Source organism: Homo sapiens, chromosome 13, assembly GCF_000001405.40.
Source record: "Homo sapiens chromosome 13, GRCh38.p14 Primary Assembly".
Classification (NCBI taxonomy): Eukaryota; Metazoa; Chordata; class Mammalia; order Primates; family Hominidae; genus Homo; species Homo sapiens.
Genome location: NC_000013.11, coordinates 104778817 through 104805776, shown reverse-complemented (window position 1 = coordinate 104805776; position 26960 = coordinate 104778817). Strand labels below are relative to the sequence as shown.

Here is a 26960-nt window from a genome sequence, read left to right as displayed (position 1 = left end):
TTTCTCTATTTTTTTTATATTTTTCAAGCTCTTGCAATGCTTTTTTTTTTTTTCAGAAATCAGGAAAAGAACTTAAATGTTATAAGATATTTTAGGTTCAACAATTTGGTATTAAATTCTCTTTCACTAAATTTTTTTTTCTTACCATGCCTTTCTAGCATCAGTGAGCAGCACTGCCTAGGAGATAACAGGAAGCCGGGTTTCACAGCAGCCATCCTAACCAACTAATTCTGTGATGATTGAGAGACTGTGAGTGACCCGATTGGCCAGACCCTTACTGAACCCAACTGACAACTGTGTCCTGATTAAAGGGGAATGAAATTTGTTTTCACAATCCCATATAGACCTATAAACTTGTCCTGACCTGTCAAGAGTGCCAGTTTTCAAACTGCCATTAGCAAACCACTGTGAAACCACCCACAAAAGCCTTACATTTTAGGCTTTTCATTTTATGTTTACTATGAAACATTAAAGAATGCATGAATATAGAAATGGAAATTGGTCCCTTTTCACCGATCACAAACTTTGTACCTCAATTCTTAAAGTCAGGGATGTTTAACTCAGCCAGCCACCTAGCTAGGGTCTGTAACAAACAGTTGGTTATTTTTCACCCTTTGTCTACTCAAAATTAAGAAAGTAAAGACGATAAAAACAATATTCTACAGAAAAAAAAGACAAATGTTAAAAAAGTAATAAAAGAGAACTTTCTTTCATATTCATGTGAGAAGGATAGATGTTTAGAAATAAAGAATAAAATTTGTGTGAGGGATGCCTCTTGCATTTTAAGAATTAGAAGAGGTGATTGGTAAAACTGTAGACATGGACGAGCTGGTTTTCCAAGGCACGGGATCAGCTACAAGTACATAGAAAAGGTCCCTCATATAAAAACAATTATGTCAAGGTGAATTTGTGTGTATTATATATGTACTAAATGATGTGTACATGCAACTGGTTGTTACAGGAAAAAGGAAAAACAGAAAAAAACTGAAAAAATTACATGAAAAAAATGTATCAAGAACCCACAGTAGTTGTAAATAGCATGATACTGTTATTGAGTACCTGAAATCAATTGCAGATTGACATGAGGAGGAGCTCAATGTAACTTCTCCCAGAGATGATCACAGAACTTAAAGAGGCTGAATTCATAGAACAGCTTCTGTGTAGAAGTCACTCTATAGTTCCTCCCAGAGGAGGGGACTGACTTTTCAATTTGTCCATTGGGCCATGCTCGGACCACAGTACTTGAAACAGAACCTTAGGAAAATGCATCATATTTTAATTCTGAACCAAGAGTTGGCTCATTTTTAAAGATACCATGCTTAGTTTTCATTTATTCAGATTTAGGTAAAGGGTTCAATATTCAGGTCAGGATTTGAAATGGGCATCAGGAAGGTGCCCTTAGGTGAGGAAGATTTGTGATGTGGGCAACTTCTTGCTAATAAAAGCCTTCAGTTCAACCTGTACTGGTTCAAGAACTTCTGAAGTTTTACAGAGGCTTGCCTGGAATCTGGGATGAGGGCCTGGGGTTGAGGTCAGGCAGCTTCGTGAACGGAGAAGTGTTGTGCTAATGGGGTTGCTTGAGGGAGGACAATGATATCCACCTTTTTTCAATATTTTGCCTAAGGCCACCCTGGCCCTGCCATTCAAAATCACCTTTTCTGTCATTTTGGCGTTTGTGGTACATTGCAGAACCCTGACTTAGGCCAGGAGGCCATTTAGGAAATTATTCCTGACATTTTGTTTTAAATTAATAAAATACATAAAATAGGGTTCCTTGTAATAGATCTCACACATCAAGCATAAGTAGATCGCATTATTTATTTTTAAATGACATATGCTGTAGCTCAGTTTTGTAGAATTCAAGAATATACTTCATCTTTTGTGTAGGTAATTTCATTCAATTTCCCAGTCCCCTCTTTCATTTTGGAGAAATAAAATTTGTGTTTTATGTCTATATACACTCTCCAATGGGGCAATTCAAAAATAAAAGTGCATCCTTAACACTGCATTTCTTTGCTTTTGGCCTGCACTAGAACTTTTCCCTCATTTCAATGTAGCTTTTGTATGGGTGAATGCAATAAAAAAGGTAATAAACTTAATAAATGGTTCAATTGCATGAGTGCACCTGTGTGTTACCTTCATCCTCATTATCCATTTCCTCAGACATTGTCCATTACCTCGTGTTGGTCACAGAACCCTATTGTAAGTCTAATACATAGTGCAATAAAAATAAATAATCTGAGAAAATATTACAGTGCAAACTGAAAATAGTTTTGTTGTAAATTTATGCACATTTTTATCCACTCTGCTAAGTACAAGGATGCTGTCAGTGTACTGTTCTCTTTATATCTCCCATAGGAGTGAGACCCAAATCCTTATTTCTTATGAGCTTCATTCAAATATATATTACAGGGGCTCCATGCCCGTGGTTGTTTTCTCAGTAGAATTCCTGAAAACTGATTCAGACAATAGTGTGTGCGTGTGTGCGCAGGTATGTAAAAATGTGATGTCCGAGATGACCCTCTAAATCCATGCCTACGTACTCACAGAAAAATAGAAAATAGTAGGTATTTTATTCAAGCAATTCAGGCACTAAATGCATATTTGCCCTGATATCTGTAGATACGAAAAAAACTGTATTCTGCTTGAAACTTTTGAATAATAGATATATTTTCAAACTGAGCTGACTGTGTGAACTTCAAATTTTTGTGGGTTTATAAAGGGCAGAGTTTCCTAGGATGTTTACTGCTAAATTGCATATCACGTATTGGCATGATATGAAGAACGGACTCACCTCTCATGCCTTGCTAGTTTAAAATACTTTACATGCTTTTAGCCAAAGATAATTTTAAAACCAAATATGCCCTCTAATTCGTAGATGCAAAACTGTGTTTTCCAGCTCTCTTTTACACAGGGTCTGTTGGCAGCTGCGTGATAGTATACTCATTAATATCTTTGACAGTTCATAGTTGTCAATCACACCAGATTTTCACAAGCTGCTTACATGGCCTGAGAAATGCACAGAAATGAAGAGGTGATCCCAGACTGACAGATCATTTCAGGTGGCTTGAGTAGACTTTAATTGACTCTTGGTTTGCTGTCTATACTGCTCTCCAAGGAATGCACGAATTAATGAAGCTACTTAATAAAAATCTTGGCTAGATCTTATCTGTTTCTGCCACTAACCAATAGAGCATATTTACACTACACATATTTTACATCCAGGCATTCAGTTTTTGGATTGCTTGTGTAGAGAACATGATTTACTCCCCCTTTACAAAATTTTAGTTCTGTTAACTATAAACAGGACAGTGGGTAGCCAGGACAATGAATAACCTCTGCAAACAACGAAAATATAAAGACAATGTCCACATGTATAGGAAATAGCACATACAAAGTGAAATTTAAAGTAGGAAATATGTAGACAATTTCCCAGTAAGTTCAAGTAATCTCTATTCTGATTTAGAGGTAAAAACTCATTCTAACTTTTAGGGGGAAAATGCTTCTCTCCAACCTTCTTTTGGGATATTTAAAACTATTTTATTGGCAATAAAAACTGCCTCTTTTGTAGGAAAATGCATAATATTTTAATTCGGAACCAAGATTTGGGTCATTTTTAGAGATACCATGGTAGGCATACAAGTGCAGAGTCTAGTGTACTGGTCTCTGCACTGAGTACCAAGCACACATTAGTCCTTGCTTATCTGTCCAACCCTACAGAGTAAAGATCATTGCTCTCATTTTTCAGATGAGGACCTTTATACTTAGACAAATGAAATGACTGGACCAAGTCCATAAATGTAGTGGTTGGTAGACAAAGGACACAAACCCAAGCTGTTTGGATCTCAAACTCTTGATCTTTGCCGGGGTATCATGGTGCCTCCTGAAGTCTTTTCAGTCAAGGTAAAAACCATCGGTTTCATTTCTTGAGGGAGTGCTCTTGCTTGAAGGGTTTACCGGCCACTGCTTTTTGCTCTGTGTGGCTGCTTTGTGCCTTTCAGGTTTGATTTCCTATATTTTAGTTCCTCTTCGTTTCACCAAGTTAAAGTACAGCTCTAATTACAATGACTACATTACTACATCAATTTCTAGATGTAAAAGGCATCCTTATAAATGTTCATAAATACTTCTGACTTTCAAAATAATGCAAAGCGATGGAACATAGTTAATGCTTCATTAGCTAAATGCTATGCAAAATTTGTTATTAGGCTGTCCTGAGAACATTTTTTGGAGCAAATTACCTATCAGCATTTTATTTGATAACTCTAAAATGAATTTTCTGCAGTAAGCTATGATGTTGCCAAAATATGTAGAAAATTTGTGCTCAACATTATTAAATATTTGAATTAACACATCATAATCTCCATATATATTTCTTTTAATATTTTCTATGAATAAATGTTTGCATATCACATTATTTTTATGAATGCATGCAATTATAGGTTAGTAAACAATAAACATTTTAGCTGGCTTTTTCTATTCCTTTAATCAAAACAAAACAAATAGCATAAAATAATGTTCATTGAATGTTAAAACTGCAGAGGAAATAGTTTTCTCTCTCTATTATGATTCTTCCTTGATTGAAGACAATCATTGTGAACAATAATTTTCAATGTACTACACTATGAGTATAGCAGGTATAAGACATTTAACTGCTCATAAATATTGCTTAATAATGTTATGTACAGGAGTAAATGAATCCACTGGGGAATAAACCTCTATTGATAAGCTATCTTATTTATGTTTGTATGCATAATTATTCTGCCCTTTTCTCAAACTTTTAAACACCTTCAAACACCAGTAAACCTCTAAAAATACACCATCTTATTTACGTGTGTATGCATAATACTTCTACCCTATTCTCAAACTAAAACTTCAAACACCAAGCCTGATATTTTGAATGCAAAGAGCCCTTAATAAACACTTCGTGAAGTGAATTGATTCTGAAACTACTTTGTGATGTGTTTGGAATCGTTTTTGAAAGAGTATTCTAAAAAAATCTTCTCCCTGTAGCATGACCCTCACTCTATGAGTTTTATAACTGTATCTATTTGCAGCATGTGCTATATCATATTACCCTTTTGGAGACTTTTAAAATGTGACTTAATTTGGCCTCTGATAAGTACTACAGTAAAGAAATCCTTTTAATTCTATTCATTTATTTCCCAAGCATAAATGAACACAGAATCTCTTAAAGTCTTCAGATCTTAAAGTTTACTAGAACTAGAATTCCAGGTAACTCGGTATAAGAACTGTTGTTTAAGAATTAAATTCCCTGAAAATAAAGTTCCTGATATTACTTTATTTACATTCATTTGTCTCTTAATGGATTATAATTTTAATCCATGGCTTAAATCAGGATCTTCTGTTATTTGTGATTGAGGTAACAGAACTTTACAATGCTATGAGAGAATAAATGTGATTTGGAAATGCACCAGTTCTCTTCATATTATCATGACTAAGTTTTGTTATAAATTTTCAATAATAAATGTCAGTGCTAAGATGAAAATGAACATAATAAGAGCATTGCTTCTTTGAAATTTTTAAAATGTGTCTTAAGCCATACATTCAAAGTGCTGTCATACTTTTAGCAATGAATAAAAATTAAAGACATGTATCTACTCACAGAGTGCTCCCTTTCTTTTTTGTAAAATCTCTTTACTTTTTATGAGATCAAAACTATTGCTAGAAACTACTCCGGATGAAATTGCTTCTTATTATAATTTGTTCTTGATTCAAAAACTTTAAGTAACTGGAGGATATATTAGCTTCTAATAATGGTTGTAAATGTTGCTTAAACATATTAAAATGCATACATTGGATGTTTCTTTCTGAATGTGACTTAGAGGAAGAATGATAGATTTGACAGTGCAAGAGTTTTGGAATCAGAGACCTGGGTTTGAATCTAGCTTTGCCTCAAGATTAGACAAAGTTGGGCATCAGACTTTGCCTAATCCTGTGTCAAAGCTAAGTCTTAGTTTGTGTATAAACTTGGTGTATGTGTAGTCTTAGGTTATAAGCTGTGAGTCTTAGGTCATATATAATTAATTTCACTAAATGTCATTTTGTAAATCTTTAAAATGGTTGTGCAACAAGATATGTGTGGAAGCCACTTTATCTGTTGTGACTAGACATTGGATCAATATTTTTCTCTGATCTCCTAGAGGAAAAGCAATCCCAATATTTTTGTAAATCTCTATTATAAGCTGAGTTGGGTACCTGCAAAGTTTATATGCTGACATCCTAATCCCTGGTACCTCAAGATGCAACCTTATTTTAAAACATAACTTTTTAAAGAGATAATTAAGTTAAAGCGAGGTCATTATGGCTGGGTCCCTAATCTAATGGGACTTGTGTCCTGATAGAAGAGCATATTTGCACACAGACACATAGAGAGCAGAGGTTAATGGAAAACACGGAGAAGATAGCCATCTGCAATTCAGGGAAAGAGGCCTGGAACCAATCTTTCTCTCTCAGTCCTTGGAAGGAACCCACCCTGCCAACACCTTGGTCTTGGACTTCTGTAGCCTCCAGAACTCTGAGACAATAAATTCCTGTTGTTTGCATCCCCTATTCTGTGGTACTTTGCTACCTCAGCCTTAACAAGCTGCTATAGTCCCAAAGCTTCCACATGCAACGGTCACTTCTGGTTCCAATGCCCTGATTCCGATAAAGTATATCACCTGTCTTCATGAAAATGTCACATGGAGCCAAGATGACAGACAACCCTTTTCTCCATTTTCTGCTTTGTATTAACTCTCAAAAGGAAAAAGTCCTTATTCCTTGGTCTCCCGATAAACCATTCATACAGTGTTCGAAGTGATTCAAGGGTTTAAAATGATAGCAACACAAACAACTCAAAATTGAAAAGTATACACCTCTCTCATTGCAAGTCCTTCATTTACTATGAAAATTCCTCACTTGTCACATTTTTTGTAGGTTCCAGACTCCTACTTACTGTGATAGTTGAGTCCTTCCCCAAACTCTCCACCATAAAAAAAAAAAAAAAAAAAAAAAATCTCAGATTTTCATTCTCCTAAGTTATTTCCCTTTAGATCTTTCCAAGAACCTGCATTCCCTGCATTTTATTAGGCAGAACATTTGACATTCCACTCGGGCCTGGCTTTGCATTAATAAAAATCCACAAGTTTCACACAGAGCAGACAGAAGCACTGGCTGAAACATAGAAGTGTCAGCCTTACTTTTCTTCTTCCTTCATCTGTCTTCATAAGTAGAAAGAGGAGAAATTTTCATTTTCCAATGATCATGAATTAGATCCTTGTCTTTTATGTCTGAATAGCTATGTGTCTTCTCACAACTACAGAATACCTTCATGGGTTGCTGTGAAGACTGAAGGTAAAATGTCTATCTCAGTGGCTGACAATAAAAGGATGAAATATACACTTGAATCAATGAATGAATAATTAGTTTATTGATTAATATATAGCTTGTCATTAACAACAATCTTCATACTAGAGATATCTGAATCACCATTGAAGGACTAAGGGGATATTTCCAAAAAGAAAAATACTAGAGGCAATGATAACATCACAGTTCAGAAAATGGAAGAGCATGGATTCCAAGAGATTATAAGAAGTTAAATTATAAGGTGCATAAATGTGTTTATAACCATATTAGTCTGCTCAGGCTGCCAAGAGTCTCACCATCAGATAGCTGTTTGCTACACTCTCAGTGTTCTCTTCTGAACAAACTTTCCCATTTTTTGCTCTATGGCTGCCTAAGGATTTTCCAAATGTCCAAGTTCTGGCTCCTTTATGCTTAACAATTGCCTCTTCAAGTCACCTCTCTCCTTTGCATTTTACTATAAGCAGTAAGGAGGCACTAAGACAAACTTCCAATAGCTTATTTAGAAATCTCATCTGCTAAATATATAATTTTATCATTTGTAAGTTCTACCTTTCACCACATAGCAGAACACAATTTAGCCAAGATCTTTGCCACTTTGTAACAAGAGTTGCCTTTTCTCCTGTTTCCTATAACCTCATTTCTGTCTAGGACCTCACCAGAATGACCTTTCACATGCCATTTTTTAAAATTTTATTTTATGTTCTGGGATACATGTGCAGAATGTGCAGATTTCTTACATAGGTAATGTGTGCCATGCTGGTTTGCTGCGCCTACCACCCCATTGCCTAGGTATTAAGCCCTGCATGCATCAGCCATTTGTCCTGATACTCTTCCTCTCCTCACCTCCCCCACCTCCCAAAAGGCCCCAGTGTGTGTTGTTGCCTTCTCTGTGTCCGTGTGTTCTCATTATTCAGCCCCTACTTATGAGTGAGAACATGCGGTATTTGGTTTTCTATTCCTGTGCTAGTCTGCTGAGGATAATGGCTTCCAGCTTCATCCATGTACCTGCAAAGGACATGATCTCATTTCTTTTTATGGTTGCATAGTATTCCGTTGTGTATATGTACCACGTTTTCTTTATCCCATCTATCATTGATGGGCATTTGGGCTGGTTCCATGTCTTTGCTATAGTGAACAGTGCTGCACATCCATGCTTCCGTCACTGTTCCTTCATGGCAACCATGGCTTTTTCTAGCATGAGCCTTAAAACACTTCCAGCCTCTGCCCATGACTCAGTTCCAAAGCCACTTTCACATTTTTAAGTATAGCCACACCCCACCTTTCAGTACCAAAACTTATGTTAGTCTATTGGGCTGCCCTAACAAAATAGTGGTACTAAATCTCTTATAGTTCAAAGGAGAGGATCACAAAAGCAAAATTTATTGCTCAAAAGTTTATGAGCTCACTAAAGAGAAAAACAACCATAGATAAGAAATATCTTACACTGAAACAAAACACAGTGGTTCTACGATGTCTTCATAGAGAAACTAAGCACAGAACAAAATATCCCTTCTTTAGCTCCTAAAGAAAGCTAATGACACCATTGTCCACATGTTGATCCTGTTGTATGCTCACTAATTCTGAGAAAATACCTTTATATTTAGCAAGACATTTTCTGAATTCTTGGCTTCAGCTAACCACCTCACTCATGTGTCATTGACCTTAAGTAAGGTCAGTGAGAGTTGAGGGCTAAGTGTTCTGTTATAGCTTTTACTAGAGAACAATCACAAGACATGCTGTATTGCCTGAGGTCAATGGAATAGTCTCCTGATAAAGAAGATCGACATGAATTATTCCATAAAATATCTCCTTTCTTAAGCACATGACTTCAACATTTTAAACATTTGATTAAAATAGTTCTAAAAAATCATTGTCTTAAATATTAGTGAAATAACTGAAGGCTTCTATAAAATGGCATCTGAGTTCATCAAAGAGTGTTTATTAAACATGTTCTTTAACCTACTTAACATGAGCTTCTTTAGAAAGGGAGCTATAAAATCATCCCAAGCAGAGTGTCTGAATCTATCATCTATAGACTGGTAAGGTGCTCTCATCCACCTATGAAAATGTAAGAATTAGACACAAAAACTACGGGGAAATATGTATGGAAATTATTCACGTTTGTTTTATAAACACATCTAATTTGGTGAAAATTTCCAAGCATCACTTCTAGAAACAATTTTTCCCTCTCTCTCAGATTATGAGCCTTCTAATTTTCAAAGATATACGTATTTTAAACCTTGTATAATAAAATTATGGAGATCACTAAAATTTTAATTTGTTTTAATAACTACACTTGCCAAATGTTATTCTGCAATGATACATCTAATTTTTAAGTAAACATTACTTTTTAATCAAAGTTGTGAGAATTACTTCCTAAAGATACAATACCAAAGATTTAAGTACAGATTTTATTGATAAGTTCACAAAGAATTAAGATATGCTATAAAATTCTGAAAGGGTGATGATCTGAAGGGCAAAAATTATACAGCAGATGCATTAGCATATAGCAAAATCTCTCCTGTGTTTATATTTTCAAACTTCATCCCTTCTCTCCAATGATACAGTCGGCTATACTCAGATATCTCTATGACACTTGAGATGTTAGGATCCAATAAGCTCACAAAGTCTTTCATTTATATTTTTAACTTTACAACCTGGGATCTCAAAGCTCACTATATACACTATTGGGTTTAGTTAGAGGCACCCATGATTTGAGATCATTTTGCAAAACACTCCACTTCCCCAGTGTTGCTTCCTAGGTGATTATAAACACTTTGTTTTCTTAATAAGTGGGCATTGGGTGCTTGAATATGCTGTGTGTTTAACTAGACACTTTTATATTGTTTCTAGCATTTAATTATTACTTAAACTCAGTGAGATGGGGGCTGTAAATAATCCCCTTTAACAGGTAGGGAAACTTAAGCTTCAAGAGCCAACTTACTTATCCTTACTTAACCTGAGGTCCAATTGTAAGAAATTCACCCAAGCCTGGAATCAAACTCAAAGGTGCTCTTTCCACGTTCATTCTCTTTCTGCTACATGAAAACGGTTTTCCTACCACTATCGTGCTTTCCACTTCACTGAACCCAAATCAGTTAATATCATGGGAAACTCATTTACCTAAATGTGATGTGTGCTAGAATCCCTCAATTTGGATTTAGATTTATTGTGAAACAATTTGCTTTCAGGGGAATAAAAAGTCAAATTTACTAGAACTGTGGAAAATACCAGCAGCTAAGGTGGGATGCCACAATGCCACATATTTACAATATGAAAGGCAACATTAAGTCCTCTGCAATTCCACATAAATACAAGCATTGTCCAAGGAATAACAAGCAAGAGGGAGGAAGGTGGGCCCTGCCTTAGCAAGATCCGGGAGAGGAGCAGGCCGCTGTGCCTCAGGCCCATCCCTTCTGTAGTTCATCTAATCTGCTCACTTTATTGTCCCAGTGGTTTCTGGAACAAGAACATGGCAAGCCTACAATTTCTGAGGCACAGAATTGTGTTGAGAATGGGTGGTGATAAAAGTCAGCAGATGGATATTTAAATCAGCACATCATGCAAATGACAGAAGTAGGAGATGAGGCAAAGCGAAATACCAGGACTTCAGATAGGAGCTGTGACAAGTTAAGCAGAAATAAGCCAAGAAAAAGAGAAAACAAATGTATGTAAGTGGGAACAGGTTAGGGAGAGGTAGGTAAAAAGGACACACAAGATGTTTCATTCCAGTTTAATTGCACAAGAGCTCCTGTCTCTGGATGAGATGATTCTCCCACTGTGGTTCATAAACCAAATCATAATAATGTTAGCTAAGAATGCTACCTGACACCTACAAATCAGACCCTTTTACGGTAATCCTTTCTGTCTCCTGGTTAGTCAATTGTCTGAATGAAGATGTGGCCCTTCCATTTCCTTCTGTTTGGTAAGACAGCTGTGTTCCTGCCTGATTCTTTGGCCAGCCAGCCTCTGCTCCTTGACTGAACCCTCCTGTTCAGCTTTGTTCTGCTAGTGGCTCCCTGTACCACAAATTTAGCCAATCCTTATTGCTTACCAGTTTCTCCTTCACACTGGATTCATCAGCTCTTTTGATGAGTGGACACATTTCATTAAATTATCAAAAACTATATAAAACTTATTACTATCTACTACTATAATATACACTCATATAATGGCATTTCATATTACATACATTGCAGTATTATGTAAGCATATGTTATAAAGTTTGGTCATCAATATCCAGCAGCATTTTATTGCAAAAAAATGCAGCTAGCAACCTTGTTCAAAATCCCCCGGCCTCTGATACGCGAGAAAGATCCAAGATAAAAAGAGAAAGAAAGGATAAAGACGAAGGTGGAGTTGAAGCTGCAGAAGGCAGTTTCTCAGGAAGGTGGGCTTCAGCCCTCCACTCCCTGTCGCGTACTTCCCTTACTTTTATGTTCCAGCATGGAGTGTCTTCACCAAAGGGCATCTGAGAAAAAGTCCTTGGCCTTAAATACCTGGACCATTCCAATTTCTGTTCATATTTCTAACCAATGTCTCTCTAAGGAAAATTCCCGAACCAAGAATCAGCTTTTCATACACCCTCCCCCACCCTCACTTGCCCCTACGTATGGTTTTTCCTTTCCTTTTCCTCATATTTTTTTGCAGACACCTCTGTCATGATCCTTGAAGGATTTATAATAATCATATACTTACCTGTAGGTTTTTCCAATTTATAGTTAATTTCCAAGCACCTGTCAAAAGGAAGCCCTCCTTGAAAGTTTACTGATTGAATAAACACATAAAATGAACTAACAAATCGAAAACACAGTATACCATTTTCTAATATTCTGACTCCTAATAACAAACAAGTTAAAAGTGTTGTATATCTTAAAATTGAACCGATGTGTTGTAATATATGTATATGTAACAACAACCAGTGTTGTTTTAAGTCCATATAGGTTCAAAACCACAGAAGCTGTAGAGGGCAACCGAATTGTAAAATGTCAATAAACAAGCACAATTAAGCAAAAAGAAATCATTTTGCCTCCCTGTAAAGCACTGGTATGTTTTATCTCTAAACAGAGAAAATTGCCTTAAATTGGTTTCATTTGTTTAAGCAGTGGAAATTCTCTCTCTGTTTCTCTCTCTCTCTCTCTCTCTTTCTCTTAAACAAAGTTTGCACAGAGTCCCCAATATACAGTAAAGGGTAATAAACATAGTTGGTATCCTATATACTTGTTCTTCTCATGTCCTGCCCTTCGGAGGTCCTTGACACCATACAGTAGAGGACAAAGACTCTGCATAGCACAATTTGGAAATAACCATCTGATGATCCCTAAGGTCTTTACTGGTTCTACACTGCTTTTAGTCAATAAAACTGAGAAGTTTTTTTTAAAAAAATAGGCAAATGTTCACTTTTTGGTATATACCATTACCTGATCTGTATTTCCAATGTTCTAAATAGTTTAGGGGATTTTATTGCAATAATACTGGTAACTATGTAAGTAGTAAATCCATTTTTCTTAGTTTATCTATGACCACACAAGTCTACCTGTCAGACCAGAGCTGTAACATTGTACAGCTAATCACCCACTAACAGCTTCCAAGAATAGATAAAATTTGTGAAAGAAGTAAAATGATATTCTAGAGTATGTCCTAAAACATTATCTCATCCTTGTATAAAATATTTAGCCATACTGGAACTAAACAGAAATTACAGTATCACTAAAATATTATAAATATTATAAGGCATTTCCCATTGTATTCTAAGCTAATTTCAGACTTCACGTGCAAAGCTAGTCTATAACAGTGCTTATATCAAAGTTGCTGGGTGTGTGCATTAATTTTTATAGCTATTCACCTTGCACTTTCATTATTTGAAACACGACACAATATGTCTGTGAAACAGAGTCAAGTTTTGCATGCATAACCCCTTGCAATATGTAAAATCATCATACTTTGAAGCTCATAGGGTTAGTGTTGGTAACTTAAGAAGAAATGTATTTGGAACTTTACCAAACCAATAACTTTCAAAATGTAGTTTAAAACATTTGTTAGAGTCATAATGTGGGCATATAAGCACATCCTTAAAACATAGTAATGTTTTGTATTTACTGGATGTGCAGAGGGATCAAAGCTTTTGTCATAAACGCTTCCAGTAATGTTTGAAGCCCTTCTTTGAGGTAGAGGTCTGGCTTTTTTTTCTTTTGTTTTTTAAAAGCATAAAATCACATGCAAAAAAAAATGACCAACATATGAATAGCATATTTAGAATCTTAACCAGTGCTTCCTAACATTAAATTGTACATTTAAGGCTTTGATATAAACCATGTTTAAAATAATGAAGTGATTGTCTTACTTTATGAATGCAGCCTGCCAACATTTATTGCACGCCTACCCAGCACAAAATATTGCAGCAGGTATAAGCCTGCCAGAATATTAAATTTGCAACTTTAATATTCTTTAGCAAAAATCTTCACTTTTTTGTGATTGGAAATTAGTAAAACTCTTTACACTTCTATTATGCATCTCAAAATACATCAAACTTGACTAAGCTAAAATTTAAAGCTCAGTATCTACAGATTCTTGTCTGACTACTGGATGTCGTAAAGAACAAAATCTTAGGTCGTTTTATAGGTTCAATTGTTGACTGAAAGCCCCACTGCCAAATGTTTAACACATAGGATATGAGTAAGCACGTATGAGTCCTTTATACAACAGGGATACTTTGAAGTCCTTGATAAAGTCCTTGATACTTTAAAGTCCTTGATACAGTCCTTGATTAAAATAGTATTCAGCATCCTATTTTAATCTGATATATTCTAAATTTTTCTTCCCAAAAACCTGCCAGTTAGGAAGGAAACAATGTTTCACATTTATAAATCCAAAGGGAACCCATTTGCAGAAACTCTTTACCTTTATGAATAATTATAAAGATAAAATGCTATTCGTGATCTATGCTTCCAAACCATAGTTGGGCAATCAGAAAGTTATGGCAGATATGAAGAGCTTGTATTACAGATCTATGTGTACATTAAATGTACATAGTCATAAGATATTCTCTGGAAACGGGGTTACAAGAGTGTCTTATATTTTTCATCAATTCATTCTGATTCATCATCTTCTCTATGGACTAGGGAAAGACCGAAAATGAGAGTTCAAAAATAAAGGAAGTTTACATTCCTCCATCCCACTCTACTACTAAATCCCAAAGGGGGATTTAAGTGCAAAGTACATAAGGAGAGGTTCTGTGCTTATTAACAGCAGTACAATCAGAAATCAGCAGGCAGCCAGCAAGTAGGACTTTTCCACTTTGGGGGCTCATACAAAAGGATTTTGTTTTCATTTGTTTAGCTCACACTTAAGCAGAAATATCTCGTTTTCTAAGTTCAAAGATGAGACAGAGGAGGTTAGGAGATTGAGATGAGATGTTTTGGCAAAGAGGTTTCAACCTTGAACATAGAAATTCAGACCATGCAAAAGCAATGGGGATTTTGCCCAAGAAGGAAAAAATTCACTGCACTGTGAATAGTTAGGAAGTGCTCATTTTGAATTGTCACAAATATTTATACAGAATATAGAACAGCCTTCCTGTATTTAATTGCATTTTAGGAGAAAAAGGAAAATCTAACAGAAGTCATAAGCAGTTGTTGAAATGTTCCACAGTAGAGTATATGCCTTTGCTGAGAAATGAAAGTTATATTATGTGCTACCTTTTCATCTGTTGCATGTCTCTGCCAGCTGCAGAGACATGTCAGATGCCATTATTCTACAAATTTGACTCTCTCCCTCCATCGCTAACCTCTTGTTGACAGTAATCAGAACTTGATGGAGAGGCCTACGCAGGTGTGATATGATAGTTGGTGCTAGTGTGACATAGTATGTGACAGTTTTAGTATTACATTCTGTAGGATGATACATCATCAAATAATGTTTCGGATAATCCTTAGTCTTTCAGCAGAAATGTAATTTTTACTCATCTAATAATATTTCCAGATGGCATAGCCAGTGAAGTATGGGCTAAAAATAAAGGATGATTGGGCTAAGAAGGTGAAACCAGAGCAAAATGTGAAATAAAGAAAAGCAAATGACCAGGGATTAAGCAGAGGCACAAAAATCTTTCAAAACCAGGATTCTTAGTTTGGGCTGTAGTGACAAAATAAGAAAAGAAAAAAAAAGGTTTAGTGTTATAAAATAACATTTTTGTAAAGTCAAAAGATAACTTGAAATGCTTCCCTCATAAGTTTTGTTTCTAAAGGGCAAGAGTTGCAGAAAATGTAAATTGTTTTTATTTATAAATTTCAAGTGGGGTTTCCAATTCATAGAAATGACAGTCTTGCAGACAACATCTGATGATTGATATCTAAATAGTGCAATATACTATTCTATTGTTTTTCACAAATTTTGGTTTGGCAAAGAGCAAAACTCAGGTTTCTTATCAAAAATCATCTGTTTGCCATTGTTAAATAACATCTACTTTCTAACTGGCATTTTATTTATACGCTACAGGATACAAAGACTTATTTATTGACGAACTTGTCAACTCTTTTCGAAGATTCAGTGCATTTACTATATAATAGAGGGCATGGTCTTTTGAAGTATTGAGCCTCTCAGTAATTATAGCGCTTCCTGGAACATCCAAGCATATGACACCTACAAGATGCACTTTCCAAACTTACAAGCAAATATTTAATGAGCAAACATTCTATGACACTTGAACATACTGCATTTTTATTCAGTAAAAAATGTTTTTCATGTTTTGAAGATGAAAAAGTGAAGAAAACTGCCCTAAATGTTTTATGATCTCCAGAAGCAAAGTTCATATAATGTTCTAATAAATTATCTCTAATTTTTATGCTACATGCCCAAAAAGTTGTAGTTTCTTATGAAGTGGCAGAATTTGTATTGCCTTCTTGGTAGACAGATTCCATTTCCTGGGGTTTATTGCCCCAATTAAATGATTGGGGACAATCAAAAGTCTCAGACATCAACTTTCGATAATGTTTCATAAAAAACAATGAACTCGAACCCTTATTTTTGACACAAGAAGTAAAGAATTATGAATAGTTCGGTGAAATTTTTTCATTCCCATATATTATTTCTATAGAGCAAATTCACAGCATAACTAACTGGATGGGTATAAATGTGTTGTTTTTTTCTTACCATTTAGAAATGATATTGGGAAGCCGAGGCGGGCGGATTACGAGGTCAGGAGATCGAGACCATCCTGGCTAACACGGTGAAACCCCGTCTCTACTAAAAATACAAAACAATTATCCGGGCGTGGTTGCCGGCGCCTGTAGTCCCAGCTACTCGGGAAGCTGAGGCAGGAGAATGGCGTGAACCCGGGAGGTGGAGCTTGCAGTGAACCGAGATCGCGCCACTGCACTCCAGCCTGAGTGACACAGCGAGACTCCGTCTCAAAAGAAAAAATAAAAATAAAAAAAATAAATTATAATGGGTTTAGGTAAGTTTTCTAATGTAAAGCCTGAGTGCTTTATATATTTCTTATGTGCCTTCTAAGCACCTCTTGAGATTACAAATGGAGAAAAATTTCACTTCAGCATTTTTTAGAGGTAAAAAAATTTCAACTTCTTGGATAAGCGATAAAGTGATTAAATAAATTCATACAAATCTTAAAGCAAATAAATAAGACATAGAGAAAGAGAAATTAGAATATTGCCTCAGATATTTCTAATGCCTCAGGATTTAATTTCTGTCAATATGTTAGTGCTATAAATTAAAAATAGCTTCAAGTTTTTAATTGACTTGATTATAAGCCAACAGAATTTATTCATAATAAATACCTGTCCAAATATTGAATTTAAATTATTTGAAACATTTAAATTTAACTACCTATCTATCTATCTATCCATCCTAGCCATCTGTCTATCTCTGTTTATGTCTGTTTTTGTGTGTGTCTGTTTATTTAAGACCAAGGAGAAGGAAAGTAAGGGGTCTTGGTGGAGAGGGGTAGTGGAGACTTACCCCATTCTCCGTGGAGCTGGTAAAGTGGCTTCCACAGTCTTACTTCCAAATGAATTATCAAGGCAAGAAGGATGAACTTCACGTATTGAGCCCAAGTTAGATCTCCCTGTGTTGAAAAAATAAGCTGTAAGATTGAGCCCTAAAAGTTTTTCTTAGAAAAGTGGTTAACCAGTTTGATTTAAACATTCTAACATGTATGCATAATGTAATTCTTTGACAGCCATGGGAGATTGGTTCCAACACCCGCTGAACACCAAAATTCTGGAATGTTCAAGTCCCTTATATAAAATGGTGTGATATTTGCATGTAACCTATGTCCTCCTGTACACATTAATCTCAATGTTACTTATAATAACTAATACAATGTAGATGCTATGTAAATAGCTGTTATACTATATTATTTTTATTTGTATTATTTTTACTGTTGTACTTTTTTAAAATTTTTCTTCAAATATTTTTTATCTGTAATAATTGGTTCATTCTGCCAAAAGCCAAACCCAAGAACATGGAGTGTAAAGTATATATCAAAACAGCATGTTGTGTATCATAAATAGATATCATTAGTCCTTGTTGTTTAAAATAAATTTACAAAGAAAAACTGTTAGGCTTTTTTCTTAATTTCTTTAATTAGAAAAACCCTCAGGGCTGTTTGATAATTTAGCCATAATTTCTATGGATGTTAGGGGAAATTCCAAACGTATAAGATAAAATGAGGTAGTATTAAACATGCAAGTTTTAAGGACAGATTCTACATTCTGTTTTTTTGTATACATGTGTACTAAAATTTTATTCTTTAAGCAAAGTTATGTTTTATTATTCATTTGAACTCTGCATCCATTATCTTATAAAATCTATACAAAATAATTTCAAAAGTGGCCTATCACTCTCACAAATTTAGATATTAGAGGATCACAACCCAGAGAGGTGGCTTAATTTGCCTGAGGTCACACAGCTGCTAATTTGGTGAACCTGGATATATATACCAAGCCTATTTTTCTCCAAAGCTAATATATATGACCTTGCTAATGAGGCCCTAGGCTGAACGTTTTGGTAAATTGCTCAAGAACAAACCAAATAGGTATATTCTTCAATACCCCTTTGTACCTTATTCTAACCAGTGCATCATTCAAGATACATATACAGGTTGAGCATCCCTGATTTGAAAATCTAAAATCCTTAAGTTTTTGAGTGACCACATAATGCCACAAGTGGAAAATTCCACACCTAACCTCATGTGAGGGGTCATATATTTTATTTATAATATTACATAAAATTACCTTCAGGCTATGTGTATAACATATGTATCAAACATAAATGAATTTTGTGTTTAGACTAGGGTTCCATCCCCAAGATATCTCATTACATGTATATAAATCCCAAATCTGAAACACTTCTGGATCCAAGCATGCCAGATAAGGGATACTCATCCTGTGTAAAGAAAGGAGTACAATGACTCTAGCATCCTGGATTTGGGTTATACATTTATCTACTAACGAATAATATTCAGAGACATGTTCTGGAATTTCAATTTTAGCACACATTTTACCCTCTTGAAGTATCCTAGAGGAGAAATATTACCAGAAGGCAATTTTCTCTTGCAATTATTTTCTGCAACTATTTTTATGTCAGTTTAATTCTTCCAAGAGTAAATATATATACATATATATGTATATATATATATATACATATATATGTATATATATATACATATATATGTATATATATATATATACACATATATATATATGTGTATATATATATATATGTATATATACACTAGCTCTTTGCCCAGTTTAGAATTTATTGATCAATAAAATTTCACGGAACAATGTACAAATATCCAGGGCAGTGCACTTAACCAAATCAAATATTTAGATGTTCAAATAAAAAAAGAAGGAAGAAAGGAAGGGAGGGAGGAAGGAAGGGCGGGAAGGTGAGAAAGCAAGAAAGAACTTTTGAATATCATTAGAAGTCAAATATCGAAGTCTGGGAGTTTTGTGGCTGGATAAAGTTAGTCCCTCTCTTTGGATATTTCAGAGTTTCATTCCAGGTATGAATAACCTCAGAACAGGGAGACTCTCTGCAAAGTACATTAGCTCTAAATTACTAATAAAAAAACAGATTTTATTTAGGGGCAGAGTTGGTATGGGAATTGAAATTCCAAGACCGCACATTATTTTCACTTAGGGATATTGTGTTAGGCAACAGCAAAGAAAAAAGGAGCAGTGGAAAGGCCAGTAGTCTTAACATCTGACAGCAGTGCCTGTTCGAAGTGTGAACCATAATTCTCCCAGGGACTGGAGTCTGGATGTCCGCCTGCTTGATCTAATCCCATAATGTAAGAAAGGAAAGGCAGTTGACAGAAACAAGCGATTTTATGTCTCTGTGTATGTTTTTTCTTCCCCCTCCCCATTCCCAAATTGCCCACTGCTACTCAGGTATTTCACGTGAGGTAGACAAAGGCCATTTTGATTAGTTGGGTCCACATATCATTGTTCCTGCCCTGCAACAAAACAAACAAAACAAAAACAGTGGCTTTCCCTCCCCTCCCCTTTCTACTACGTTGCTGTTATGACTAATTTCACTATTGGGAACATATTGAAGCAGAGAAAAAGCAATGGCCAGGAAACAGAGAAAGCTATCAGTAGTAAACTCAAACTTCAGATGGAGTTTAGAATCAGCCTAGATATGCAGTTCAGAATTTTACTTTAATCAGTTCAAAATGAGCAGAGAGATGGCTCGAGGGACAACTGATACAGATAAGAAGAAAAAATGAAGCAGTGAGACCCTGTCTCTACAAAACGAAAACAAAAAACAAAATGTAGAGAACATCAGCCAAGCATGGTAGTGCATGCCTGTAGACCCAGCTACTTGGGATGGTGAAATGGGAGGATTACTTGAACTGGGATATTGAGGCTGCAGTGAGCCATGATTGTGCCTGGGTGATGCAGTGAGCCATGACTGTGCCTGGGTTATACAGTGAGACCTTGTCTCAAAAATAGTAATAATAGTACTGATAATTAAAACATATATATTTACATGTAAATAAAACAATATATGCATTTGCATATATATATGCACACACACACACACACACACACACACACACACATAAACAATTAAGCACCAGAAGTAGCAACTTCAAATGTATTCAGGCTGATCTAATGTCCTCTTTTTCTTTGTGGCTGAAAAAAAAAATAAACACATATTGAAAACCCATAAGCCTGAGAATTAGAACAAAATTCTAATAGAGATTAGCATGAGTTAAGAGCAGACTGTCTTGCCTACATTCAGAGGATGGACTGAATAATTTATAGACAAGACTGCAAATCCAATCAGGCTTACCATGTCTACCAAAATGTCTGTTTGAAGTTTCCCCAACAGGATAAGAAAGGGACCCAAGGCTCTTGTACTTAATAAGCTGTCAAATAAGAAGACTGTGAATTTTTTATGATCAGAACTTTGAGCTACATAAAATCTTTAGTTTTAGATCTAAACACATAATCCTTGAGTCAGAAAAGAACTTTAATATCAACTTACTTATGATTATAGGTTTACATGGTGTTCCTAAGAATCTGAAGAACAAAACACGAGGCAGTGTATTAGTGTTTAGCATCTAATTTGGTCCCAGTAATGATTTTTTTAATTTTTTAGGTCCTCCATTTGACACTCTAAATTCTCATATTTCTCATTCTGCTTCAGTCATTGCTTACATTAGTTAATTTTTGTAAAGTTTTTAGAACACAGCCTGGAACCTCATGAGCTTTATTACGTAAATGTTGTTAAATAAATAAAAACTGTCTTCCCCAGGCAACTTGGAGTGCATGGTCCATGAACCTTGACAACTCCTTTGCTTAATCCCTAAGCTCATTTTCTCAATTTTATTCTATCACACTCCCTTGAAAAAGGTCTAGAGTTTAAAATTTAAAAAAAAGAAAAATCACTGACACCTCTCTATCTGAAACAGGGCTAATAGACATTCCTGGGAAAATTCACGGAACTAGGTGGACAGTGGGCAGCCACATGGGAATCCTTAAACCCTCCACTTCACCCCGGATTCTCTCACAATGTGTGGAGATATTATGAAGGGTCTTCAATCCTCACACTTCCACTCTAACGCCCCTTTTTCAGCAGCATTAAAATATGCTCTACTTTCCCCTAACAAAACAAATGCTTTGATCAACATTAAATTCTCTTTCAACAAACTCTCACTTTTCCTCCCTTTCAGAGACAAACTTTGAGAAAGAATTTTCTGGGCCTGGCACGGTGGCTCATGCCTGTAATTCCAGCTCTTTGGGAGGCCGGGGTGGGTAGATCACCTGAGGTAAGGAGTTCAAGACCAGCCTGACCAACATGGCAAAACCCTGTCTCTGCTAAAAATACAAAATTAGCCGGGTTTGGTGGCATATGCCTGTAATCCTAGCTACTTGGGAGGCTGAGGCAGGAGAATTGCTTGAACCTGGGAGGTGGAGGTTGCAGTGAGCCAAGATCGTGCCACTGCACTCCAGCCTAGGTGACAGAGCACGACTCCGTCAAAAAAAAAAAAAAAAAAGAATTTTCTGGCTGGGAGCAGTGGCGCATGCCTGTAATCTCAATACTTTGGGAGGCCAAGGCGGCGGGCGGATCTCTTGAACTCAGGCGTTTGAGACTAGCCTGAGCAACAGAGTGGGGCCATGTCTCTACAAGACATACAAAAATACAAAAAAAAATAAATAAATAAAAAATAAACAATAGCCTGGCATGGTGGCCACACCCATAGTTCCAACTACTTTTGGGGGTTGACGTGGGAGAATTGCTTGAGCCTGGGAGGTCAATACTGCAGTGAGCCATGACCATGTCATTGCACTCCAACTTGGGTAACAGAATGAGACCCTGTCTCAAAAAAGTAATGTTCTAAACTTCGTTTCTCTAGTTTCTCAGCTCTCCTCAGCTCGGTTGATAGTTTTTCTAGCATGAACTTGACGCTGTTGGCCTGCACCCTTCACTTTTGGTTCCCTGGGCCTCCACGCTCAGGGCTGCCCTGAGTTTTTCTCTTTGCCTTCAGACGCCTGTACATAGGTGCTTTTGTCTCTGTCATTGTTAGGGACTGACATGTGCCTCCTCTGAGGCCATAAGTGTGGGGCCTTAATCCAATAGGACCTATGACCTTTTCAGAAGAGAAAGAGATAGCAGAGATTCAAGTGCACAGAGAAAAGACCATGTGAGGACACAGTGAGAAAGTCGCCATCTGCAAGCGAAAGAGAGAGTCCTCAGGAGAAATAAAACCTGCCCATTCCTCAATCTCAGACTTCCAGCCTCCAGAATTGTGAGAAAATACATTTCTGTTTTGTAAGCCACCCAGAATGTCGTATTTTGTTATGGTAGCCCTTGCAGACAAATACTATCATCTTCCTGTTTCTATTCCTATGATCTTACATGTCCCAGTGTTCTGTTTAAGGTCACCTCTTCTCAGCGTCTGCATTTTCTTCATTGGCAGCTGCATCCACTCTCAAGTCTTCAGCTGTCATCTCTGTGTGACTCACTTGCAAACTGGTATCTTCAACCCAACAGTTTTTAGTCCTAATCTTCCAGCAGCACTCTGAACACCTTCACTCATGGGCCTTGCAAGTCCTTCAAATTGAAAATGTCTACAATTGAATTTATCATCTCAGCTCCTCCCCCTCATTCCCTAATTACTGTTCTGTCCATTCCTGATCATCATCATTTGTTCCTGTGCAAGAAAAATCCTCATATCCTCACCATGCCCCCATGGCTGATAAATAATAAAGCATTGCGTCTTTTTTTTTTTTTTTTTAACTTTTCTTTTTTTACTTTTAGGTTCAGGGGTACATGTGCAGGTCTGTTACATGGGTAAATGGCACATTGCTGAGGTTGGAGTACAACTGAGTCTTGTCACCCAGCTAGTGAGCATAGTACCTGGTAGGTAGTACTGGTAGGTAGTACTGGTGGATAGTACTGGTAGGTAGTACCCTCAACTCCCCCCATCTTCTAGTAGTCCCCAACATTCATTTCTCCCATCTGTATATCAATGTGTACTTGTCAGAGGTTTCTGAACCAGAGCAACTCCATCTTGAATAGAGGCTGGGTAAAGTAAGGCTGAGACCTACTGGGCTGCTACATTCCTAGCAAGTTAGGGATTCTTAGTCATGAGATGAAATAGGAAGTCAGCACAAGATACGGGTCACAAAGACCTTGCTGATAAAATAGGATGCAGTAAAGAAGCCGGCTCAAACCCATTAAAACCAAGATGGCGATGAAAGTGACCTCTGCTTGTCCTCACTGCTCATTATAATGTATTAGCATACTAAAAGACACTCCCACCAGTGCCATGGCAGTTTACAAATGTCATGGCAATGTCAAGAAGTTACCCTATATGGTCTAAAAAGGGGAGAAACCCTTAGTTTGAAGACTTGCCCACCTCTTTTCCATAAAATTCATGAATAATCTACCTCTTGTTTGCCACATAATTAAGAAACAACTGTAAGTATACTCAGTCAAGCGGCCCAGGACACTGCTCTGCTTCTAGAGTAGCCATTCTTTGATTTTGTTGCTTTCTTAATAAACTTACTTTCACTTTACTCTATGGACTGGCCCCGAATTTTTTCTTGCATGAGGTCCCAGAACCCTCTCTTGGGTCTTTGTTAACATACTCACTATTTAGCTCCCACTGAGGGGTCCTTTAATGTTGACCTGAACATCCCTCTCAAATCCGACCACCCCTCACAGTTCACACTACCAGCCACCCAGTCATTTCCGCCACCCAGCCATTCCAGCCACCCAGCCATTTCCTCCACCCAGCCATTTCCTCCACCCAGCCATTTCCTCCACCCAGCCATTCCACCCACCCCGCCATTCCAGCCACCCAGCCATTTCCTCCACCCAGCCATTTCCGCCACCCAGCCATTCCAGCCACCCAGCCATTTCCACCACTCAGCCATTCCAGCCACCCCGCCATTTCCACCCAGTCAGCCATTTCAGCCACCCACCCAGCCATTCCAGCCACCCAGCCATTTCCTCCACCCAGCCATTCCACCCACACAGCCATTCCAGCCACCCAGCCATTCCACCCAGTCAGCCATTCCAGCCACCCAGCCAGCCATTCCAGCCACCCAGCCATTCCAGCCACCCAGCCATTCCACCCAGTCAGCCATTTCAGCTACCCACCCAGCCATTTCCGCCACCCAGCCATTCCAGCCACCCAGCTATTCCAGCCACCCAGCCATTCCACCCAGTCAGCCATTTCACCCAGTCAGCCATTTCCCCCACACAGCCATTTCCACCACCCAGCCATTCCAGCCAGTCAGCCATTTCAGCCACCCACTCAGCCATTCCAGCCACCAACCCAGCCATTCCAGCAACCCAGCCATTCCAGCCACCCAGCCATTCCACCCACCCAGCCATTTCAGCCACCCAGCCATTTCAGCCACCCACTCAGCCATTCCAGCCACCCAGCCATTCCACCCACCCAGCCATTCCAGCCACCCACTATCTCGTCTGGGTTACCGCAACATATTCCTACCCTGTTTCACATTGACCACTGCTCCCCTGATGACTGTTTGCCACTGAGAAATATAAATCTGATTATGTATAATTTCATCTTCAAGTATTTTGATTCCATTTTAATATTTCTGTGCTTAAATGCCTTATATGATTACATTTGATGCACATCTCCTTTTTTTGCCAACCTCTTATAATCTATATCCTATCAATTCTGCATTCCCTTCCATTCTTCTTATTTGAAGAAGATATTATCTTGAAGTTTAAAGGAGGTTGATTTTAAACAATTTAAAGATTTATCTAGGTAATATGTGTTGTCGCCCGAGGTGGTATAGATTATTTTTTAAAAATGTGGAGATTCATAAGAACCTAAGCATTAGAGATAGGGATAGTGGCTCACAATAATGGCAAGAGGTATAGTATATACTAATTTACATATTAGTAATGCTTTCTTGATTGCAAAAAACAGAAAAATAACTCTTACTAATATTTTGGCGGGAGTGGCACAGCAGTAGCTCATGGAATGAAAATAAGAACTCAGTGAAGCAGAAAGCTACTGAAGAAACCAAAAAAACACTAGAAAATCAGCAGTAGGAATGTGTGGATTTTGCCTTGGAAATTCTGCCGTTTCTGAGACTCCTCATAAGAGACACCAGGCTTTCTCTCTCTCCATTCCACATCTCTTAAATCTGGGGATGAGAACTTGATTGTCATAGCTGGGAGCAAGTGTGTGCCCCTGGGTGAAACAGCGAAGTCCATTTGACAGTGCCTTAGGGCAGAGACATGGACACTGGCACCTTCATACTCATTTGTAACTGAGCCATCTTCAGAGGACTCACTTGCATCGAGAAATACCCTGATTGGGTCTATCACATGAGTCAATATTTGTCGAAAATTTGTGTTGAGAACAAGAACTGCGCAGCATTGGTCTTGTGCACTTTGGGATTGAACGAATAAATGACGTTTTTAGAGTGTGCTTTAGCAAGTGATGTTGGCAGGGGTATCATATTACAAGAGTTTAATTAAGTATTCTCATTACCAGCTGTTGGAGAAGAAAAGTGTAAAAGCTTTCTTTTGCTACACAACAGGATTTTTTCTATGTGTATTCAAGATGATTCATAATATAGCCTGAATGGACAAGAGGAACCACAGTTTTCTATATTGCATTAGAGTGAACATGTAATTTCTTTTATATTGTAAAGGGATATTTGAACGGGGTCTGTAGATTGTTTCTGCCTTCCTAGACATGGATTTTGGCCTTTGGCATGCCCACCTGCTAGGGCCACAGTCATCAGCTTGACACAGGAAATGTGGGACTGCTGAGTGATACTATTATAGCTTCTTGTTTGCAAGCCCAGCCTGCCAGTCCCCCGCCCCCCCACCTATTTCTCCAAAACCCCTTAACTGGAAGCTACTTGGGAGCTTTTTGTTATTGAAAGGGCTCTGAGAATATAAAACAGCTGGTCATTTCTAATGTCTTAAAGATGCACACATGCTCACTTTTTATTTAATGTCCTCCTAGTAATTTGAGCAGATGCTAACTGTGCTGCAACATGAGTCAACTGAAAAGTATGTATCTCAATAAGATTTAAAAAAATAGGAAATTTACATAACTTTTTTATAAACCAAACTAAAAATACATATACAAGTGATTGTAGAAACCAGGGCGATTTCACCTAAAAGCAAATGCTTAGTGAGAATTTAATTGCATTTACCTGATGTCCTTCATAGTAAAACCTGTTTTTTTTTTTTTCAACTGAAATAGGGGAAAGTCGTTTTAACTATGTAAATGGAGTGTCCTCAAATCTAATCAATTTGCAGTGTGACCAAATAATCTGTTGCATTGCCAATTCACCAAGGTGTTTCAGCCATTTGGAGATCAGGCAAATTATTTCAAATATAATCACTTAAAGTGTTTTAGAAGGGATGTAATTAAATGGCTTCAATATAAGAAAAAATATGTACTGAAACAGTACATTGAAACAAAAGGAGCATATATTTACTTGATTTTTTAAATGAGCTAAATATCAATCACACTACATTTTTACAGGCTTACAAAGGTGCCTAAAATAATCATTATCTGACTTGCAACTTTATGTGCTCATTTTTTAACATGTCTTCTA

At 37.0% G+C, this 26960-nt stretch overlaps 1 long non-coding RNA gene across 4 annotated transcripts in view; it reads left to right on the top strand.

Annotated features, from left to right (window-relative positions):
• Nucleotides 1-26960, top strand: part of LOC107984606 (uncharacterized) — an 84462-nt gene that overhangs the window by 32210 nt on the left and 25292 nt on the right. For 2 of the 4 annotated variants that reach the window (XR_001749994.2, XR_001749993.2), the window contains one exon: nt 159-8229. The exons of the other annotated variants lie outside the window; for them this stretch is intronic. This is a non-coding gene — a long non-coding RNA (uncharacterized LOC107984606). Of the gene's footprint in view, nt 1-158; nt 8230-26960 lie in introns of those variants that run through there. 4 annotated transcript variants of the gene reach the window in all.